The sequence below is a fragment of the Homo sapiens genome, chromosome 12, assembly GCF_000001405.40.
Source record: "Homo sapiens chromosome 12, GRCh38.p14 Primary Assembly".
In the NCBI taxonomy this organism is placed as follows: domain Eukaryota; kingdom Metazoa; phylum Chordata; class Mammalia; order Primates; family Hominidae; genus Homo; species Homo sapiens.
The window spans coordinates 132,882,614-132,903,410 of record NC_000012.12 but is presented as its reverse complement, the minus strand read 5'-3'; the positions used below and the strand labels follow the sequence as shown (position 1 = coordinate 132,903,410).

General features: G+C 48.0%; 1 protein-coding gene, 1 long non-coding RNA gene and 1 pseudogene across 6 annotated transcripts in view, besides 7 other annotated features; 1 reads left to right on the top strand and 2 right to left on the bottom strand.

Moving 5' to 3' along the window:
- Positions 1,484-1,653: an enhancer, noted in NCBI's record as "experimental_26180 CRE fragment used in MPRA reporter constructs". NCBI's record gives its function as "activates a minimal promoter by MPRAs in K562 erythroleukemia cells, with activity observed for both the introgressed and non-introgressed 12:133478429 or rs77590322 variant alleles {active_cell/tissue: K562}" and the evidence as "EXISTENCE:reporter gene assay evidence [ECO:0000049][PMID:34662402]".
- Position 1,568: a transcriptional cis regulatory region, noted in NCBI's record as "Neanderthal adaptively introgressed variant 12:133478429 (GRCh37/hg19 assembly coordinates) or rs77590322 in the experimental_26180 CRE". NCBI's record gives its function as "modulates activity of the experimental_26180 enhancer by MPRAs in K562 erythroleukemia cells {active_cell/tissue: K562}" and the evidence as "EXISTENCE:reporter gene assay evidence [ECO:0000049][PMID:34662402]".
- LOC647503 (SNU13 homolog, small nuclear ribonucleoprotein (U4/U6.U5) pseudogene) lies at positions 2,920-3,495 on the bottom strand (annotated as a pseudogene).
- Positions 4,825-5,563: an enhancer, noted in NCBI's record as "NANOG hESC enhancer chr12:133474434-133475172 (GRCh37/hg19 assembly coordinates)". NCBI's record gives its function as "activates a minimal SCP1, AML or CMV promoter by ChIP-STARR-seq in naive and primed H9 embryonic stem cells {active_cell/tissue: H9 hESC(naive and primed)}" and the evidence as "EXISTENCE:reporter gene assay evidence [ECO:0000049][PMID:30033119]".
- Positions 13,410-14,210: an enhancer, noted in NCBI's record as "OCT4-NANOG-H3K27ac hESC enhancer chr12:133465787-133466587 (GRCh37/hg19 assembly coordinates)". NCBI's record gives its function as "activates a minimal SCP1, AML or CMV promoter by ChIP-STARR-seq in naive H9 embryonic stem cells {active_cell/tissue: H9 hESC(naive)}" and the evidence as "EXISTENCE:reporter gene assay evidence [ECO:0000049][PMID:30033119]".
- Positions 14,211-15,013: an enhancer, noted in NCBI's record as "OCT4-NANOG-H3K27ac-H3K4me1 hESC enhancer chr12:133464984-133465786 (GRCh37/hg19 assembly coordinates)". NCBI's record gives its function as "activates a minimal SCP1, AML or CMV promoter by ChIP-STARR-seq in naive H9 embryonic stem cells {active_cell/tissue: H9 hESC(naive)}" and the evidence as "EXISTENCE:reporter gene assay evidence [ECO:0000049][PMID:30033119]".
- CHFR-DT (CHFR divergent transcript) lies at positions 14,840-15,569 on the bottom strand. Its single transcript, NR_110919.1, has 2 exons — positions 15,479-15,569; positions 14,840-15,291 (listed from the first exon to the last, which is right to left on the bottom strand). It is a non-coding gene; the product is annotated as a CHFR divergent transcript (long non-coding RNA).
- Positions 15,350-15,759: an enhancer, noted in NCBI's record as "active region_7393". NCBI's record gives its function as "activates an Ori minimal core promoter by ATAC-STARR-seq in GM12878 lymphoblastoid cells {active_cell/tissue: GM12878}" and the evidence as "EXISTENCE:reporter gene assay evidence [ECO:0000049][PMID:35858748]".
- The window catches only part of CHFR (checkpoint with forkhead and ring finger domains), a 55,263-nt gene continuing 50,258 nt past the window's right edge, over positions 15,793-20,797 (top strand). For 4 of the 5 annotated variants that reach the window (NM_001161347.1, NM_018223.2, NM_001161345.1 and 1 more), the window contains 2 exon segments: positions 15,793-15,864; positions 16,071-16,215. In NM_001161347.1, the coding sequence (NP_001154819.1) occupies positions 16,083-16,215 (133 nt within the window). In that variant the 5' untranslated portion in view covers positions 15,793-15,864; positions 16,071-16,082. 5 annotated transcript variants of the gene reach the window in all.
- Positions 15,830-15,949: a silencer, noted in NCBI's record as "silent region_5131". NCBI's record gives its function as "represses an Ori minimal core promoter by ATAC-STARR-seq in GM12878 lymphoblastoid cells {active_cell/tissue: GM12878}" and the evidence as "EXISTENCE:reporter gene assay evidence [ECO:0000049][PMID:35858748]".

The window sequence follows — 20,797 nt, the reverse complement described above, 5'->3', positions numbered from 1 at the left end:
TCACAGAGGGGTTGGCAGCGGGAAACAGAGAGCACCTGGTGTTTCCTTAATCAGGATTGTTCTGGGAGGAAATCCATGCAAGTCCAGAGAAGTGCGTGGCCCAGGTGAGACTTGCAGAGAACAGTGTTCGTGCCTACAGCTTGGGGAGTCTGGGAGAAGGAAAATGAGCACTCCTGTGGATGTGCTTTATTCATTTCTTCCTGTCTTATTTTCCCTACAGGGTTAAAGTAGTTGTAAAGAAGAAAGTTTTGCAAAGTACATGTATTAAAACTCAAAACATTAGGCCAGGTGCAGTGGCTCATGCCTGTAATCCCAGCATTTTGGGAGGCTGAGGTGGGCAGATCACACGGTCATTAGATCGAGACCATCCTGGCTAACACGGTGAAACCCCGTCCCTACTAAAAATACAAAAATTAGCCGGGCGTGGTGGCACGCGCCTGTAGTCCCAGCTACTCGGGAGGCTGAGGCAGGAGAATTGCTTAAACCCAGAAGGCAGAGGTTGCAGTCAGCCGAGATTGCGCCATTGCACTCCAGCCTGGGCAACAGAGCAAGACTCTGTCTCAAAATAAAAAATAATAAAATAGAATAAAAATCATTATTTCCACTTAAAATAGTTCATAGCGGCTGGGCACAGTGGCTCACACCAGTAATCCCAGCACTTTGGGAGGCCAAGGCAGGCAGATCACCTGAGGTCAGGAGTTCAAGACCAGCCTGGCCAACATGGTGAAACCCTGTCTCTACTAAAAATACAAAAAAAAGCAGCTGGGTATGGTGGTGCATGCCAGTAGTCCCAGCTACTAGGGAGGCTGAGGCAGGAGAATCGCTTGAACCCGGGAGGCAGAGGTTGCAGTGATCCCAGATCCCGCCACTGCACTCCAGCCTGGGCAATAGAATGAGACTCCATCTCAAAAAAAAAAAAAAAGTTCATATCAAAAGGAAAATATAGGCTGCTCTGCCTGTGGAGTAGCTATTCTTTTGTTTCTTTACATCTCTAATAAACTTGCTTTCACTTACAAAAAAAAAAAAAAAAAAAAAAGGAAAATCCTAGCACTCTGGGAAGCTGAGGCAGGCAGATCACCTAAGGTCAGGAGTTCGAGACCAGAATACAAAAATTAGCCGGGTGTGGTGGTGCATGCCTGTAATCCCAGCTACTCAGGAGGCTGAGACAGGAGAGTTGCTTGAAACTGGGAAGCGGAAGAGGTTGCAGTGAGCCGAGATCATGCCACTGCACTCCAGCCTGGGCAACAGAGCAAGACTCCATCTCAAAAAAAAAAAAAAAAGGGCTGGGCACGGTGGCTCATGCCTGTAATCCCAGCAGTTTGGGAGGCCAAGGCAGGCAGATCACCTGAGGTCAGGAGTTCGAGCCCAGCCTGGCCAACATGGAGAAACCCTGTCTCTACTAAAAATATAAAATTAACTGGGTGTGGTGGCACATGCCTGTAATCCGAGCTACTGGGGATGCTAAGGCAGGAGAATCGCTTGAACCAGGGAGGTGGAGGTTGTGGTGAGCCGAGATTGCGCCACTGCACTCCAGCCTGGGCAACAGTAGCGAAACTCTGTCTCAAAAAAAAAAAAAAAGAAAATGTAAAAGGTAATTTTACTTTTCTGGTTTTAATAGAAGCAAATTCCTCAGTAATCTTTTTTTTTTTTTTTTTGAGACAGAGTCTCTCGCTCTGTACCCAGGCTGGAGTGCAGTGGCCGATCTCGGCTCACTGCAGCCTGCGCCTCCCGGGTTCAAGCAATTCTCCTGCCTCAGCCTCCCGAGTAGCTAGGACTACAGGAGTGCGCTGCCACATCTGGCTAATTTTTGTATTTTTTAGTAGAGACAAGGTTTCATCAGGTCGGGCAGGATGGTCTTGATCTCCTGACCTTGTGATCTGCCCATCCCAGCCTCCCAAAGTGCTGGGATTACAGGCATGAGCCACCGCACCCAGCCCATCAGTAATCTTTTAAAAATGTACTTATTAGCTCACTTCATTTTCACTTAAGAGAATTTCCATGTTTGATAATTTTTTATGACTCACTGACTATCTCAAAAGGTTTTCTGTGGCCAGGTGTGGTGGCTCACGCCTGTAATCCCAGCACTTTGGGAGGCCGAGACTAGCGGATCACCTGAGGTCAGGAGTTGGAGACCAGCCGGGCCAAGATGGCAAAACCCCATCTCTACTAAATATACAAAAATTAGTTGGGCCTGGTGGTGGGCACCTGTAATCTCAGGTACTCAGGAGGCTGAGGCGGGGGAGAATTGCTTGAACCCTGGAGACAGAGGTTGCAGTGAGCCGAGATTGTGCCACTGCACTCCATCCTAGGTGACAGAGTGAGACTCTGTCTCAAAAACAAATAAATAAATAAATAAATGGGTTTTTTTTGTTTGTTTTTTGAGACAGGGTCTCACTCTGTTGCCCAGGCTGGAGTCCAGTGGTGCTATCATGGCTCATTGCAGCCTCCACCTCCCGGGCTCAAGCAATCCTCCCACCTTAGCCTCCTACATTAGCCTCCCTAGTACAGGTGTGCATCACCACATCCGGCTAATTTTTTGTATTTTTGGTGGAGACGGGGTTTCACCATGTTGGCCAGGCTGGTCTCGAACTCCTGAGCTCAGGCAATCCACCCACCTTGGCTTCCCAAAGTGATGGGATGACAGGCTTGAGCTCCCAGCCAGCTGCTAGTTTTGAGTGGGGCCCAGAACAAGTGAAGGCTCTGCAACAGATGCAGGCTGTTGTGCAAGGTGCTCTACCACTTGGTCACATGACCCAGCAGATCCAATGGTGCTTGACATGTCAGTGGCAGAGAGCGATGCTGGGTGGAGCCTTGGCAGGCCCGCATAGGAGAATCACAATGTAGACTTTTAGGATTTTGGTGCAAAGCCCTGACATTGTCTGCAGATAATTACTCTTCTTTTTTTTTTTTTTTTTTTTTTTGACTTCAACGTTTTATAACAATAGAGAGTAGCTGAAAATACTACATGCTAACACAGACAATATGATACACAACCTCGGGGGACAAGTTGGCAGGGAGCACGTGGCAGAGGCCACAGGTTTAGACTAAGAGCCTTTTGATGGACTGCTGAATGGATTGGATCTGCTGTTTCAGCTGTGAGCCTTCTTTGATGGTGACAGAACAGGTGATGACAGGCCTGGAGACCCCACAGGCTCTTCCCAGGGCCTGCTTGGAGCGCACAAATATGAAGGGCACGTTCTTGTCTTCACACAGCAGTGGAGGTGCGGAATGATCTCCTGTGGCTCGGTGTCTGCAGCCATCACGATGAACTCAGAGATGCCCCTGTTAAGGGTTTTGGTGGCCTCGTTGGCTCTTTTCTGAAGCTGCTTGTAGTTACACGACTACTGAATGAACTCCAGTGGTTTCTTGGTGAGGTGGGCATCGGCGAGGGGCTAGGCCTTCAGATTCACATTGGCCTCAGTCATGGCTGTGGTTCCGTGAGCTCGGCACTCCTAGGGCCGCGCAGCCGAGGTCTGAGAAGCGCTCTCTTCCACCCGTACTCTTCTTTTGACAACCAGCTTTTGGCTTGCTACAGGACGGTATTAGGGACTGAATAATTAAGCATGGCCCACCAAATTACTGCATGACCTGAGCTGCTCATCACGAACTCAGTGTTATCTGACCCCCCAAGCCATAAAGTGAGGCATACAGAGTAGTACTCCATCATCACGCAATGACAGTGCAAAACTCACAGAATACCTTACCCACCGTTGTGGTGTTAGAGAAACCTGTTTACCAGGCCTCTGGTTTCATAAAACATGACCAGAGTGACTCTATCTTAAGGTAAGTAGCTAGGCACTCACAAGACACCTGTAAGGTTGCTATGGTCTGAAAATAGCCACATTCTAAGCTGACCACCAATTATAATTGCAGAAATATTTATGGTCATACGGGACATCTCCCACCAAGCCTGCAGAATGTCCAGATGTCCTAAGAGTGCAGCCCACTTTACTCAGAGAGAACCTTAATGAGCAGGCTTAGGTTGAAGGATTAATGGTCACTGATAGCACCAATAGCCCTACCTTCAGTGAGCACATCTGCACATTCCAGGTTTAATTGTAGCTCCTTAAGAGTTTCCTGTACAGCATTCCTCTTCCTGCTTTCTGAGGATGCCTTACTCTGTAACAGAGTAGATTCTGATAAACTTGCTTCTTTCACGGTGCTCAGTGACTCACCTCAAATTCTTTCCTGTGTAAGATCTAAGAGCCCTTTCTTGGAGCCTGGACTGGAACTCCTCTTTTTCCTGTAACAATGACATCGCTTCTGATCGAAGAACCCACTTCACAGTAAATGAGGTGCACCGTGGGCCCATGCTCATGGAATTCATGGGTCTTGCTGTGTTCTCCATCATCCTACCGATTTTGGTTCTGTTTTTCTGGTGGAACTGACTGAGAGAAACATATAGTGAAAGGTAAGTCTTCATTACCCCTTGACTTTAAGTCCGTGTTTCAGAGGAAGCCACCGCCATTTCCTTGTGTATCCTTCTAGAGAGATTTTCATTTTCATAAACATATTTGTATGTACACATTATTAATTAAAAGAGTCAAGCTCTACAAAATTTGAAGAGGTTTATTCTGAGCCAAAAGTGAGTGATCACGGCCCACGGCACAGTCCCAAGAGGTCCTAAGACCCTGTGCCCATGGTGGTGGGGCTACAGCTTGGTTTTATACTTTTTTTTTTTTTAAAGACAGAGTCTCACTCTGTCACCCAGGCTGGAGTGCAGTGACGCAATCTCGGCTCACTGCAACCTCTGCCTCCCGGGTTCAAGCAATTCTCTGCCTCAGCCTCCTGAGTAGCTGAGATTACAGGCACCTGCCAACAAGCCCGACTAATTTTTTTTTGTATTTTTAGTAGACAAGGGGTTTCACCATCTTGGCCAGGTTGGTCTTGAACTCCTGACCTCGTGATCTTTCACTCGCGTCCGTGTGAAGAGACCACCAAACAGGCTTTGTGTGAGCAATAAAGCTTTTTAATCACCTGGGTGCAGGCGGGCTGAGTCTGAAAAGAGGGTCAGCAAAGGGGAGATGGGGTGGGGCCGTTTTATAAGATTTAAGTAGGTAAAGGAAAATTACAGTCAAAGGGGGTTGTTCTCTGGCGGGCAGGGGTAGGGGTCACAAGGTGCTCAGTGAGGGAGCTTTTTGAGCCAGGATGAGCCAGGAGAAGGAATTTCACAAGGTAATTGTCATCAGTTAAGGCAAGGACCGGCCATTTTCACTTCTTTTGTAGTGGAATGTCATCAGTTAAGGCAGGAACAGGCCATTTTCACTTCTTTTGTGATTCTTCAGTTACTTCAGGTCATCTGGGCATATACATGCAGGTCACAGGGGATGTGATGGCTTAGCTTGGGCCCAGAGGCCTGACATTCCTGCCTTCTTATATTAATAAGAAAAATAACATAAAATAGTGTTGAAGTGTTGGGGCAGCGAAAAAAATTTTTTTGGGGGGCTGGCATGGAGAGATAATGGGCGATGTTTCTCAGGGCTGCTTCCAGCGGGATTAGGGGTGGCGTGGGAACCTAGAATGGGAGAGGTCAAGTTGAAGGAGGATTTTGTGGTAAGGGGTGATATTGTGGGATTGTTAGAAGGAGCATTTGTCATATAGAATGATTGGTGATGGCCTGGATACGGTTTTGGATGAATTGAGAAACTAAACGGAAGATACAATGTCTGAATAAAAGAAGGAGAAAAATGGGTATTAAAGGACTAAGAATTGGGAGGACCTAGGACATCCAATTAGAGAGTGCCCAAGGGAGTTCAGCGTAATTACTTGCTTGGTTGGCAAGTTTTTGGGCCCTATCCTTGAGTTTTTTTATGTTGTCATACACCAGGCCAGATTAATTTAGGTAAAAACAACACTCTTCATTTAAAAATATACAGAGTCCTCCTTTTTCAGCATTGAGTAAGTCAAGGCCTCAGCGATTTTGGAGGACAGCTAAAGAGTCAACTTGGGCCTGGAGGACTGATAAAGTTTGTGATATGTCTGTGATGCTAGCAGAGAAGTCATTAGAGAGGCTACAGAAGGTTGTGACAGAGGTTGAAATGCCTGCTATCCCAGTACTGAGAGCAATAGTAGAGGCAGAAAGTCTTAAACCGACAAGCAAGGGAATTAGTGGAATAACTCTTTTTTGTCATGTTGGTGTCATGAGGGGAACAAGGAGCTTTTTGCTCCTATTGGCAAATTGAATTTTGGGAGTAAGGAAAACTAATGTGCATGTGCCTGTCCAATTAGCAGGTAGACACATGTAGGTAGAGGATCCACAGAGGAAGAAGGGACCTTGTGCCAGGCAAAATTGGAGATGCAAAGTAAAAAGATGAGAAGGAGTGCTGAAAGGGGTGTCTTGTACCTACACTCCTAGGGATCCAGCTAGGGCAGCAGCCATCAGAGGTTGTAATGGGGACTGGTGGGGTGACTGCATAGAGGGGGACGTTCGATTTTCATGGTGTATGAGAAAACGTCTAGTGTCTATGAGCAACCTTTCATGATGGGGTAACTGCATAGAGGGGAGGATCGATTTTCATGGTGTGTGAGAAAACATTGAGTGTCTACGAGCAACCTTTCATGATGGGGTAACTGCATAGAGGGGAGGATCGATTTTCATGGTGTGTGAGAAAACGTTGAGTGTCTACGAGCAACCTTTCATGATGGGGTAACTGCGTAGAGGGGGAGGTTAGACTTTCATGGTGTATGAGAAAACGTCGAGTGTCTACGAGCAACCTTTCATGATGGGGTAACTGCGTAGAGAGGGAGGTTCGATTTTCATGGTGTATGAGGAAACGCTGAGTGTCTACAAGCAACCTTTCATGATGGGGTAACTGCGTAGAGGGGGAGGTTCCATTTTCATGGTGTGTGAGAAAATGTCGAGTGTCTACGAGCAACCTTTCATGATGGGGTAACTGCGTAGAGGAGAGGATCGATTTTCATGGTGTGTGAGAAAACGTCAAGTGTCTACGAGCAACCTTTCATGATGGGGTAACTGCATAGAGGGGGAGGTTAGACTTTCATGATGTATGAGAAAATGTCGAGTGTCTATGAGCAACCTTTCATGATGAGGTAACTGCGTAGAGAGGGAGGTTCGATTTTCATGGTGTGCGAGAAAACGTCGAGTGTCTACGAGCAACCTTTCATGATGAGGTAACTGCGTCGAGGGGAGGGTCGATTTTCATGGTGTGTGAGAAAACGTCAAGTGTCTACGAGCAACCTTTCATGATGGGGTAACTGCATAGAGGGGGAGGTTAGACTTTCATGGTGTATGAGAAAATGTTGAGTGTCTATGGGCAACCTTTCATGATGGGGTAACTGCGTAGAGAGGGAGGTTCGATTTTCATGGTGTATGAGGAAATGCTGAGTGTCTACGAGCAACCTTTCATGATGGGGTAACTGCGTAGAGGAGGAGGTTTGATTTTCATGGTGTATGAGGAAACGCTGAGTGTCTACAAGCAACTTTTCATGATGGGGTAACTGCGTAGAGGGGGAGGTTCGATTTTCATGGTGTGCGAGAAAGCGTTGCGTGTCTACGAGCAACCTTTCATGATGAGGTAACTGCGTAGAGGGGAGGGTCGATTTTCATGGTGTGTGAGAAGACATCAAGTGTCTACGAGCAACCTTTCATGATGGGGTAACTGCATAGAGGGGGAGGTTAGACTTTCATGGTATATGAGAAAATGTCGAGTGTCTATGGGCAACCTTTCATGATGGGGTAACTGCGTAGAGAGGGAGGTTCGATTTTCATGGTGTATGAGGAAACGCTGAGTGTCTACGAGCAACCTTTCATGATGGGGTAACTGCGTAGAGGGGGAGGTTCGATTTTCATGGTGTGCGAGAAAACGTCGCGTTTCTACGAGCAACCTTTCATCATGAGGTAACTGCGTAGAGGGGAGGGTCGATTTTCATGGTGTGTGAGCAAATGTCAAGTGTCTACGAGCAACCTTTCATGATGGGGTAACTGCATAGAGGGGGAGGTTAGACTTTCATGGTGTATGAGAAAATGTCGAGTGTCTATGAGCAACCTTTCATGATGGGGTAACTGCGTAGAGGGGGAGGTTCGATTTTCATGGTGTATGAGGAAACGCTGAGTGTCTACGAGCAACCTTTCATGATGGGGTAACTGCGTAGAGGGGGAGGTTCGATTTTCATGGTGTATGAGGAAACGCTGAGTGTCTACGAGCAACCTTTCATGATGGGGTAACTGCGTAGAGGGGGAGGTTCGATTTTCATGGTGTGCGAGAAAACGTCGCGTTTCTACGAGCAACCTTTCATCATGAGGTAACTGCGTAGAGGGGAGGGTCGATTTTCATGGTGTGTGAGCAAATGTCAAGTGTCTACGAGCAACCTTTCATGATGGGGTAACTGCATAGAGGGGGAGGTTCGATTTTCATGGTGTATGAGAAAACGTCAAGTATCTACGAGCAACCTTTCACTATTATTTATGGGTCTGGGTATAAGTAAACAAGAAGAGGGCCTGGGAGGAGAGCCTGATGAGCAAGGGGAAGGTAGCCAAGGATGGAGTGAAATGCAGGGTAAGTGTCTTCTTAAGCAATAATTACTACTAATATTTTTAAGTTTGTCAGTATTGATAGAGGGCTTATCTGTAATATGGAGCTGGAAGGCTTCAATTGTTTCAGTGATGTGTGTAGTTGGGCTTTGGAGATGAAGAATAAAGGAACATCGAGAAGGTGAAAGGTTACCTAGGGGAATTCCAGTGGGTCTTTGCTGAGAGATACATAAAGGAGCGGCCTTGAGCAGAGTTTTTATTAAAGAGGCATTAATGATGGAGGAACTTTGCGTAGTGAGGAAACCTCTTTCAGCCTATATAACAGCATGGTGGTGCAGAATATGGAAGGCATATTTAGAGTCAGTATAAATATTGACATGTAGTCCTTTTGCAAGAGTGAGGGCGCCGGGTGTGGTGGCTCACACCTGTAATCCCAGCACTTTGGGAGGCTGAGACGGGCAGATCACCTGAGTTTGGGAGTTCAAGACCAGCCTGACCAACATGGAGAAACCCTGTCTCTACTACAAATACAAAATTAGCCGGGCGTGGTGGTGCATGCCTGTCATCCCAGCTACTTGGGAGGCTGAGGCAAAAGAATTGCTTGAACCCAGGAGGCAGAGGTTGCAGTGAGCCGAGATTGCGCCATTGCACTCCAGCCTGGGCAATAAGAGCGAAACTCCATCTCAAAAAAAAAAAAAAAAAAAAAAAAAAAAGAGTGAGGGACTGAGTTAAGGCAACTAGTTCAGCTTCCTGAGAGGTAGTGGAGGGAGGCAGAGTGGTAGCCTCAATGATAGATGTGGAAGATACTATAGCATAGCCTGCCTTTGCTAGTGAGTGGCAATTAGGCCTGGTGGAACTGCCATCAATAAACCAAATGTGATCAGGGTGAGGAACAGGAAAGAAGGAAATATGGGGTGAATGTCAGGTGGATCAGAGAGATACAGTCATGAGGGTCAGGTGTGGTATCCGGAATAATGTGGGAGGCCGAATTGAAGTCTGGGCCAGGAGCAATGGTAATTGTGGGAGACTAAAGGAAGAGTGAGTATAGCTGAAGGAGCCAGGGAGCAGAAATTATATGTATCAGGTGTGAGGAAGAAAATAGATTTTGGAAGTTATGAGAGCTGCAGAGAGTGAGTGGAGCATAGTTTGTGATTTTTGAGGGCCTCTGAAAGTATTAGGGCGGCAGCAGCCACTGCATGGAGACATGATGGCCAGCCTAAAACAGTAAAGTCAAGTTGTTTGGCCAAAAGGCTACAGGATGCAATCCTGGTCCTTGTGTAACAATTCTGACTGCACAGCTCTGCACTTCGGCTGTGTGTAATGAAAAGGGTTGGGATGAATCAGGGAGAGCTAGTGGGGGCAGTCTCTAAAACTGTCTTTAAGGAAAGGAAAGAGGAGTGGGGAAAGGATTTAGGATCTATGGGGTCAGCTAGGTTTCCTTTTGTGAGTTTATATGATGGTTTTGTTAGGATGGCAAAACCATGTATCCAAAGTTGAACGTATCTAACCATGCCTAGGAAGGAAAGGAGTTGTTTTGTAGACGGTGTTGGGGTTTGAGATATCAGTTGGACATGATCAGCAGGGAGAGCACGTGTGTCTTTATGAAGAATTATCATGAGGTAGGTAACAGATGAAGAAATTTGAGCTTTGGAGGGGGATACCTGATATCCTTTGGAGAATAAATGTTGAAGGAGCAGGAGGGTGTCTTGTTGAGAATATTCAAAGGAGGGGCTACAAAGAAGAAGGTCATCAACATATTGAATAAGGTGAGAAGCGGAGGGGTGGAAAGAAAGTAAATCATGAGAAAGAGCTTGGCTGAAGTAATGAGGGCTGTCCCCGAAACCTTGCGGCAGCACAGCCCAGGTAAGCTGCTGGGACCGATGGGTGTCAGGGTCAGTCCAGGTAAAAGCAAAGAGAGGCTGGGACGAGGGGTGCAGCGGAATAGTGAAAAAAGCATCTTTAAGATCAAGAACGGAATAGTGAGTTGTGGAGGAAGGTATTGAGGACAAAAGAGTGTACGGTGGGGCACCACGTGGTGACTAGGCAAAACAATTTGGTTGATAAGGCGCAGATCCTGAACTAACCTGTAAGACTTGTCTGGTTTTTGGACGGTAAAATGGGGGAATTGTAAGGAGAGTTTATAGGTTTTAGAAGCCCATGCTGTAGCAGGCGAGTGGTAACAGGCTTTAATCCTTTTAAAGCATGCCACGGGATGGGATATTGGCATTGAGCGGGGTAAGGTTGATTAGGTTTTAAGGGGATAGTAATGGGCATGTGATCGGTTGCCAGGGAGGGAGTAGAGGTGTCCTATATTTGTGGGTTAAGGTGGGGGGATACGAGAGGAAGACGCAAAGCAGGCCTTGGGTTGGGAAGAAGGGCGGCAATGAGATATGGCTGTAGTCCAGGAATAGTCAGGGAAGCAGATAATTTGGTTAAAATGTCTCGGCCTAATAAGGGAACTGGGCAAGTGGGGATAACTAAAAAAGAGTGCATAAAAGAATGTTGTCCAAGTTGGCACCAGAGTGGGGGAGTTTTGAGGGGTTTTGAAGCTTGGCCGTCAACACCCACAACAGTTATAGGGGCAAGGGAAACAGGCCCTTGAAAAGAAGGTAACGTGGAGTGGGTAGCCCCCGTATCGATTAAACAGGGGATGGACTTACCCGCCACTGTGAGAGTTACCCGAAGCTCAGCATCCATGATGGTCCAGGGGGCTTCCAGGGTGATCAGGCAGCGTCAGTCTTCAGCCGCTAAGCCAAGCAGATCTTGGAAGGAGTCAGTCAGAGAGTCTTGGGCTAGAGCTTTAGGGGCTCTAGGGGTGGCTGCCAGGCGAGCTGGGCAGTCTGATTTCCAGTGGGTCCCTGCACAGATGGGACACGGCTTGGGAGGAATCCCAGGCTATGGGCATTCCTTGGCTCAGTGGCCAGATTTCTGGCACTTGAAGCAAGATCCTGATGGAGGAAGTCTTGTAAGAATGCTTGACTGCTGTGGCTTAGGTGTGTGCGGCTTAGGCATTTTGAATTTCTTGTGTGCTGGAGGTGTGGCTGGGTTTTGTCTTACAGCAGAGGCAAGTAATTGTAACTCAGAAATGCGTTGCCGTCTGGCTGCCTCCTCTCTATTATTGTACACCTTGAAGGCAAGGTTGATTCATTCCTATTGTGGGGTTTGAGGGCCAGATTCTAATTTTTGAAGTTTTTTCCTAATGTCAGGAGTGGATTGGATGATAAAATGCATATTAAGAATAAGGCGGCCTTCTGGCCCTTCTGGGTCTAGGGCGGTAAAGTGTCTGAGTGTTGCTGCTAAGCAGGCCATGAACTGGGCTTGGTTTTCGTCTTTACCTTGGGTAGTTTCTTTAAGCTTGTCATAATTAACAGGTTTGTAAGCTGCCTTTTTAAGCCCTTCAACTAGGCAGGAAATCATGTAATCTTGCCTAGCTGTACCTGGGGAATCTGCCTGATAGTTCCATTGGGGATCCTCTCGGGGAACTGCTCTGATGCCTTCCTGGAGGTATGGCTCGTGAAGCCGGTGGTTATCAGCGTGAGATTGGGCTAGAGAAAAAACTCTTTCCCGTTCATCTGGGGAGAGGGTAGAAGTCAGGATGACATTTAGGTCACTCCAGGTTAACTTGTAGGACAAAGTTAGATATCGGAATTCCTGTATATGTTTAGTGGGGTCTGATGAGAAAGAGCCTAAATGTTGACTGATCTGAGAGAGGTCTGATAGAGAAAAAGGCACATGTACCCTGACTATGCCTTCAGCTCCAGCCACCTCTCTAAGAGGAAATTGTTGGGCAGGTGGGGAAGAGCTAGTCAAGGAACTAAACTGTAAGCCGGACCGGGTGTGAGGAGGGGAGGTGACAGAAAGATTATAGGGTGGAGGAGCGGAGGCTGAGGAAGAATTGGGACTTAGCTTGGCCTGGCGACGAGCAGCCTGGGGAGGAGGGGAGAGGTCAGATGGGTCTGTAGAAAAGGAAGACTGGAAAGACTCAGCGACGCTTGGGGTTGGGACTGAGGGAACAGGCAGGAGGGAGAGAAGGAGGATTTGGGAGGAATCGCATTGGGAACAGAGACTAGGGAGGGAACGAAGTGTGAAAAATGCCTGGATGTAAAGCACCTCAGATCATTTGCCTATTTTTTGACAAAAATTATTTAGGTCTTGTAGAATGGAGAAGTTGAAAGTGCCGTTTTCTGGCTATTTAGAGCCATTGTCAAGTTTGTATTGGGGCCAAGCGGTGTTGCAGAAGAAAACAAGGCGTTTAGGTTTTAGGTCAGGTGTGAGTTGAAGAGGTTTTAAGTTTTTGAGAACACAGGCTAATGGAGAAGAGGGAGGAATGGAGGGTGGAAGTTTGCCCATAGTGAAGGAGGCAAGCCCAGAGAAAAGAGAGGGTAGAGACATGGAGAGAAGGGGGTGGGGGGTGCTTGCCACCCAGGAAAGTGAAGAAGGGGTAGAGACACGGAGAGAAGGGGTTGGGGGGTTCTTGCCCCCCAAAAAAGCATTACTTGCCACTAAGGGTGAAGGACCAAGGCAGGCGTCCCTGCATGGTCAGACACCTCTGAAACGTGGGTGAATAATCAGGCAGGCGTCCCTGCGCGATTAAACACCAAGGGAAGACTGTCTTCCCGAGTCCATGACCGGCGCCGGAATTTTGGGTTCATGGATAAAACGCGTCTCCTTTGTCTCTACCAGAAAAGGAAAGGAACTGAAATTAAGAGTAGGGAGAGATTAAAGTGTGGCACCAAGATTGAAAGGAGAAAGAGGTTGAAGGATAGTGAGAGAGGTGGGAGAAGAGAGTGAAAAGAGGCCATTACCCGATTTAAAATTGGTGAGATGTTCCTTGGGCTGGTTGGTCTGAGGACCTGAGGTCGTAGGTGGATCTTTCTCACGGAGCAAAGAGTAGGACAGGGGATTGATCTCCCAAGGGAGGTCTCCCGATCCGAGTCACGGCACCAAATTTCACTCGCGTCCATGTGAAGAGACGATCAAACAGGCTTTGTGTGAGCAATAAAGTTTTTTACTCACCTGGGTGTAGGCGGGCTGAGTCCGAAAAGAGAGTCAGCAAAGGGCAGATAGGGGTAGTGGGGCCGTTTTATAAGATTTAAGTAGGTAAACGAAAATTACAGTCAAAGGGGGGTTGTTCTCTGGTGGGCAGGGGTGGGGGTCACAAGGTGCTCAATGAGGGAGCTTTTTGAGCCAGGATGAGCCAGGAGAAGGAATTTCACAAGGTAATGTCATCAGTTAAGGCAAGGACCGGCCATTTTCACTTCTTTTGTAGTGGAATGTCATCAGCTAAGGCAGGAACAGGCCATTTTCACTTCTTTTGTGATTCTTCAGTTACTTCAGGCCATCTAGGCATATATATACATGCAGGTCACAGGGGATGCGATGGCTTAGCTTAGGTTCAGAGGCCTGACATGATCCACCTGCCTCAGCCTCCCAAACTGCTGGGATTACAGACGTGAGCCACTGCGCCCAGCCGGTTTTACACCTTTTAGGGAGAAAGTTCATAGATGGATTCAAAGATTTTCTGATTGGCACTTGGTTGAAAGAGTTGTTATTATCTAAAGACCTGGAATCAATAGAAAGGATTGTCTGGGTTAAGCTAAGGGAGACAAAGTTTCTATTTTGTTATTTTTTTTTTGACAGGGTCTCTGTTGCCCAGGCTGGATTGCAGTGGCACAGACTGTGGTTTACCGCAGCCTTGTCCTCCCGGGCTCAAGGAATCTGCCCACCTCAGCCTCCTGAATAGCTGGGACTATAGGCATGTGCTGTCATCATGTCCAGCTAAGACGGGGTCTCCCCATGTTGCCCAGGATGGTCTGAATTCCTGGGCTCAAGCGATCCACCCACCTCGGCCTCCCAAAGTGCTAGGATTACAGGCTTGAGCACCACCACTCTGGCCATTCTAATGCAGATGCCGCTCCAGGCAGCAGGCTTCAGAGAGAATAGATGGTAAACTTTTCTTATCAGAGTTAAAAAGGTGCCAGAGTCTTACATTCTCTCCTGGATCAGGAAAAGATGTGGAAAAGGAAGGAGATTCTCTACAAAGTAGATTTCCCCCAGGAGACAGTTTTGCAGGGCTACGTAAAACTATGTTAAATAAATACATGTCAGGGTAAAATACTTCGTTTTCTTCCAGGGCCTGCTATTTGTCATGTGATGTATCTTAATGCTACAGACCGTTTGGTCAGCCTTAAGTTGTCTGTTTTAACGTCGACGCTGGTCAGTTATACCTGAATTCCAAAGGGAGGACAGTATAATGGGACATATCCAAACCCTGCTTCCCATCAGGGACTGAACTGGTTTTTCAGATTAACTTTGGCGTTGAGAGACTCAGTTCATTCAGTTGGTTGGGGAGGCTTACAATTTTATTTTTGGTTTACAAGGTATAGATAACTATGCCTATACCTATATATACAAATGTTTATATATGTATATATGTGTGTATATATGGTTTGTTTTACACAAATGGATGCCTACTTTATTTATTTTGGTAGCGATGAGGTCTCAGGCTAATCTCGAACTCCTGGGCTCGAGATCCTCCTGCCTAGGCCTTCCAAAGCACTTAGATTACAGGCGTAAGTCACTGCGCCCGGTCCTGCTTCACCCTCTTAAAACCGCCCTTGGGGGCTCCTCATGAGTGCAGACATTGGCGCGTTCCTCCAAACCGCACAGACTCCCCCTGCGTGGACGCGTCTCGCCGTCTTTACTCCTCTTTCGCCGACCTTTCACTTTCAGGGAATACCCTCTGGCGCCCTTCTCTGGAGCACACACGTGAACGCCGCCGGATTCCAAGAAGTGAGATACTGAGGCAAAAGTTACGCGCGTTCAGAACAGGAAGACCCCGCAAAACGCCGGCCAAGACGTGGCCCCGCGTCCACCCTGCCCACAAGCAGCCGCTCCCACTCGCGGACCGCGCCCTGTGCCTCAGACTTCGGATCTGTGTGATCCACTGTGTGCAACTGTACCCGAAAGGGTCCCCACGTGCACTACCTCGTGACAACTAAGATGGACCGTCTTCTACTCCTAGGAGTCATCCCCAGATTAGCGGGGCTCTCAGAATCCTTGGGGCTTCCAATCCGGAAGTTCCCCGTCCCTTCTGCCCCAACATAACATGGCGCCGACCGCAGCCACTTCCGTGATCCGCAGGCGACGAAGTCGCCTGGTCAGGATCAAAGATGGCCGAGCGCCCTCCACGCGCCTACTCTCGCGGGCCACTCCCGGCTCCGCTTTAGCTGCCGCTCTTGGTGAGCGCCGCCGCCAGCCAATCGCGGGGCGCAGAGGCCTCTGGCCCCGCCCCGCGGATCAGCTGAGGGAGCCGCAATGTCTCTTGACAGCGGCGGCGGCGCAGCCGGTTCCGGGTTCGGCGCGGGGCGGGGGTAAGCGCGGCTGGCGAGGGGGCTGCGGCGGGCGGCGAAGGGGGACCTGGTTGCGGCCGTGGGAGGGGGCGCCCGCCGGCGTCCAGGCCGGGCTGCGGGGCTGCGTGGGCGCGGGCGGCCGGGCCGGGGCCCGCGGGGTGGGGCGGGCGCCGAGTCTCGGCCTCTGGGGTCGGGAGTCTCCATGGGCGTTTCCGGGGTCTCCGCAGATGTGAATCCCGATGGAGCGGCCCGAGGAAGGCAAGCAGTCGCCGCCGCCGCAGCCCTGGGGACGGCTCCTGCGTCTGGGCGCGGAGGAGGGCGAGCCGCACGTCCTCCTGAGGAAGCGGGAGTGGACCATCGGGCGGAGACGAGGTGCGGGGCTGAGGCCGGGGCCGGGGGCCGGGGCCGGGCAGAGCCACCGGGTTGCGGGCAGGCCACACGGGCGGCGGTGCAGTGTGCGCTCCAGATTTTTCCGTGGAGTGAAATGTCATGTAAGAACTGGTATTTATTCGGTGTTCTGCCCACCGATTCTTGCGCATGATTCACGCACATCATTTAGCCTTCGTTACAACTGTATAAGTTAGTTGTGTTCATATACTCTCCAGAATGCAATATTGTCACGTTCGTTGCCGTACAGAGTATCTTTTCTGACTGTAATGGAACGAAATTAAAAATAATAGAAGGAAAAGTGGAAAATTCACAGATATGTGGACATGAAACACCACACTCTTAAAGCAACCGGTGGGTCAAATAAGTCTTTACAACGGGGACCTTGTTTTGAGACAAATGAAACAAAAATAGAATACACCAAAAGGTATTTAGGATGCAGCCAAGGCAGTACTCAGAGGGAAATTTATAGCTGTAGTGCTTATATTAAAAAAGATCTCAAGTCCCAGCCCCTAGAATATTTATTTATTTAATAAACCTGGAAAGCTAAAAACTTGAACAAAGTCATACAACGGGTGAGAGAAAGTTCCCTCAGCCTCCACATTCACTGCCTCCAGTCTCCCAAGTGACCATCTGGTTGTTTGATTTCCTCTGAAGCCTTTGTATGGGGAGAGAAATGCGCTGGTCCTGTCAACAAAAATGTTTAGTTTGTCTGAAAATTAATGAATTAGCTCCGACATTATACTCTAAAAAGGAGCGAGGATGGGAAATATTTGCTGTTTGGAAGCAATTTTTTTTTTTTTTTTGGTTAATTTCACCCCTTATAATGTGCTTGCACCTGGTTTTTTTTGTTTTTTTGTTTGTTTTTTTGAGATAAGAGTCTTGCTCTGTGGCCCAGACTGGGGTGCAGTGGTGTGATCTCAGCTCACTGCACCCTCTGCCTCCCGGTTCAAGTGATTCTCCCGCCTCAGCCTCGGAGTAGCTGGGACTACAGGCGTGCGCCACCATGCCTGGCTAATTTTTGTATTTTTAGTAGAGATGAGCTTTCGCCATATTGCCCAGGCTGGTCTTGAACAACTGAACTAAAGTGATTCACCTGCTTCGGCCTCCGAAAGTGCTGGGATTACAGGTGTGAACCACTGTGTCTGACCTGGTTTTGTTTTTTGGGGTGTTTTGGTAGTCTTACATTCCAGTATCAAGTCAAAGTTTATTTTACAACTTTGAAAGTATTTAGATATCATCATAACATATCAAAATTATCCCTTTAAGACAAGAGGAAGTATTTGAAGATTTTTCCCTTTGTCTTTACTTGATAGACTAGGAGGTTTGGTGAAGAGCAGAGGCCCTAGAGACAAATTATGTGGGTTTCCAATCTGTCAACACATTACTCTGGGCTAACGACATCTTTCTGCGCCTATGTACCTACTTCATAGATTTGCTCTGAGGAGTTAATGAGATCATACACGGACTGCTTAGAAGGAACTTTAGCGTTAGCACTTAGCATTAGCCATTGTTATTGTAACATGTTATACATGTTATTACATGGTAGGACATTACATGTTAAGACAAGGAGAGAAAATATGTCGTTGAGTTTATCTTTTAATAGGAACGATTTTAGTGAATTTATAAATAATGTTGCCAGCAAAAACTTTAAGATTATTGTATTAGTTTGTTCATACTACCATAGCAAAATACTACATTCTGGGTGGCTTAAGCAACAGAAATTTATTTATTTATTTATTTATTTATTTATTTATTTATATATTTTTTGAGACAGAGTCTCACTCTATCACCCAGGCTGGAGTGCAGTGGCGCGATCTCGGCCCACTGCAAGCTCCACCTCCCGGGTTCTTGCCATTCTTCTGCCTCAGCCTCCCGAGTAGCTGGGACTACAGGCGCCCACCACCACGCCTGGCAGTGGTATTTTGTATTTTTAGTAGAGACGGGGTTTCACCATGTTAGCCAGGATGGTCTCAATCTCCTGACCTCGTGATCTGCCTGCCTCAGCCTCCCAAAGTGCTGGGATTACAGGCGTGAGCTATCGCGCCCGGCCAGAAATTTATTTTTTATTTTATTTTATTTTTTTAATTTTTGAGATAGAGTCCTGCTCTGTCACCCAGGCTGGAGTGCAGTGGCATGATCTCGGCTCACTGCAACTTCCCTCTTCCAGGTTCAAGCGATTCTCCTGCCTCAGCCTCCCGAGTAGCTGGGACTACAGGCACGTACCACCACACCTGGCTTATTTTTTTCTATTTTAGTAGAGATGGGGTTTCACTGTGTTGCCCAGGCTGGTCTCGAACTCCTGAGCTCCAGCAATCTGTCTGCCTCGGCCTCTCAAAGTGCTAGGATTACAGGTGTGAGCCACTGTGCCTGGCCAGAAATTTATTTTCATGGTTCAGGAGGCTGGGAAGTCCAAGATCAAGGTGTTGGCAGATTGGGTTCCTGGTGAGGGCTCTCTTGGCTTGCAGGTGGCCACTTTCTTGCTGTGTCCTCACATGGCAGAGAGGGGGACTCTGCTTGCTCTCTCTGCCTCCTCTTAAGAGGGCACCAGCCCTGTGACATCTGATTCCCACCTAGTGACCTCATTTAACATTTATCAGCTCACAGGCCCCATTTCCAAATACAGTCACATTGGGGATTAGGACTTAAATATATGAATTTTAGGGGGGTACAGACACTCAGTTACAAACATTCAGTTCCTAACAGTTGTAGAACTTGATTATTTTATTTATTTATTTTATATATATATATGTATTTTTTTTTTTGAGACGGAGTTTTGCTCTTATTGCCCAGGCTGTAGTGCAGTGGTGCCTTCTTGGCTCAACCTCCAACCTCCCGGGTTCAAGCAATTCTCCTGCCTCAGCCTCCCGAGTAGCTGGGATTACAAGTATGTGCTACCACGCTCAGCTACTTTTTGTATTTTTAGTAGAGACGGGGTTTCTCCATGTTCGTCAGGCTGGTCTTGAACTCCTGACCTCAGGTGATCCACCCGCCTCGGCTTCCCAAAGTGCTGGGATTACAGGCGTGAGCCACTGTGCCCGGCCTGATATATTTATTTTTTGAGACGGAGTCTTACTCTGTCACCCAGGCTGGAGTGCAGTGGTGCGATCTTCACTCACTACAACCTGCATCTTCCAGGTTAAAGTGATTCTCCTGCCTGAGCCTCCAGACTAGCTGAGATTTCAGGCGTGTGCCACCACACCTGGCTAGTTTTTTGGTATTTTTAGTAGAGATGAGGTTTTACCATGTTGGTCAGGCTGGTCTTGAACTCCTGGCCTCAAATCAAATGATCCACCTGCCTTGGCCTCCCAAAGCGTTGGGATTACAGCCATGAGCCACCTCGCCCAGACAGAACTTGATTATTTTAAAGCAATGATGTGCCTGCCATTTATAAGGCATTATTTGGGGGAAAAGGGAAAGCCTAGGTAACGTGTAGGAAGGGGTGCAACAACCTTGTTTTCCCAAAGAGCTCTTTATCCAGTCTGGAGTGCAGTGGCACGATCTCGGCTCACTGCAAGCTCTGCCTCTTGGGTTCACACCATTCTCCTGCCTCAACCTCCCAAGTAGCTGGGACTACAGGCACCCGCCACCATGCCCGGCTAATTTTTTTTGTATTTTTAGTAGAGACAGGGTTTCACCATGTTAGCCAGGATGGTCTTGATCTCCTGACCTCATGATCCACCCGCCTCGGCCTCCCAAAGTGCTGGGATTAGAGGCGTGAGCCACTGCGCCCAGTCTTTTTTTTTTTTTTTTTGAGACGGAGTTTCACTCCTATTTCTCAGGCTGGAGTGCAATGATGTGATCTCGGCTCACTGCAACCTCCGCCTCCCAGGTTCAAGTGATTCTCCTTCCTCAGCATCCAGAGTAGCTGGGATTACAGGCACTCACCACCATGCTTGGCTAATTTTTGTATTTTGTAGAGACAGGGTTTCATCATGTTGGCTAGGCTAGTCTCTAAGTCCTGACCTCAGGTGATCCTCCCGCCTCGGCCTCCCAATGTGCTGGGATTACAGGTGTGATCCACCGCGCCCAGCCAAGAGCTCTTTATTCTAAGAGAGTGGCAGAAATGTACATCAACTGCTTGAAAGATTTAACCCACCAAGCGTCAAGCGCAGCAAATGCTGTGAATAGAACTTTAGCACAAAGCATCTCGGTTCCAGATTAGAATGCTGATATTCAGGCCAGGCACGGTGGCTCATGCCTGTAATCCCAGCAGTTTGGGAGGCCAAAACAGGAGGATCTCTTGACCCTATGAGTTTGAGACCAGCTAGGGCAACATAGACCCTGTATCTACAAAAACTTAAAAAATTAGCTGAGCGTGGTGGTGCATATTGGTAGTCTCAGCTACTCAGGAGGCTGAAGTGGGAGGATCACATGAGCCTGGGAGTTCAAGGCTGCAGTGAGCTGTGATTGCTCCACTGCACCACAGCTGGGGTAACAGCGCAAGGCCTTGTCTCAAAGAAAAAAAAAAAAACCTGATGTTCTGGCATGGAGACGCCTCTGTTACAAACTGGCTCTGGCGACACCGTGACTTGCACTGGTTTTGGGGCTTGAAGGAGACTGTCCT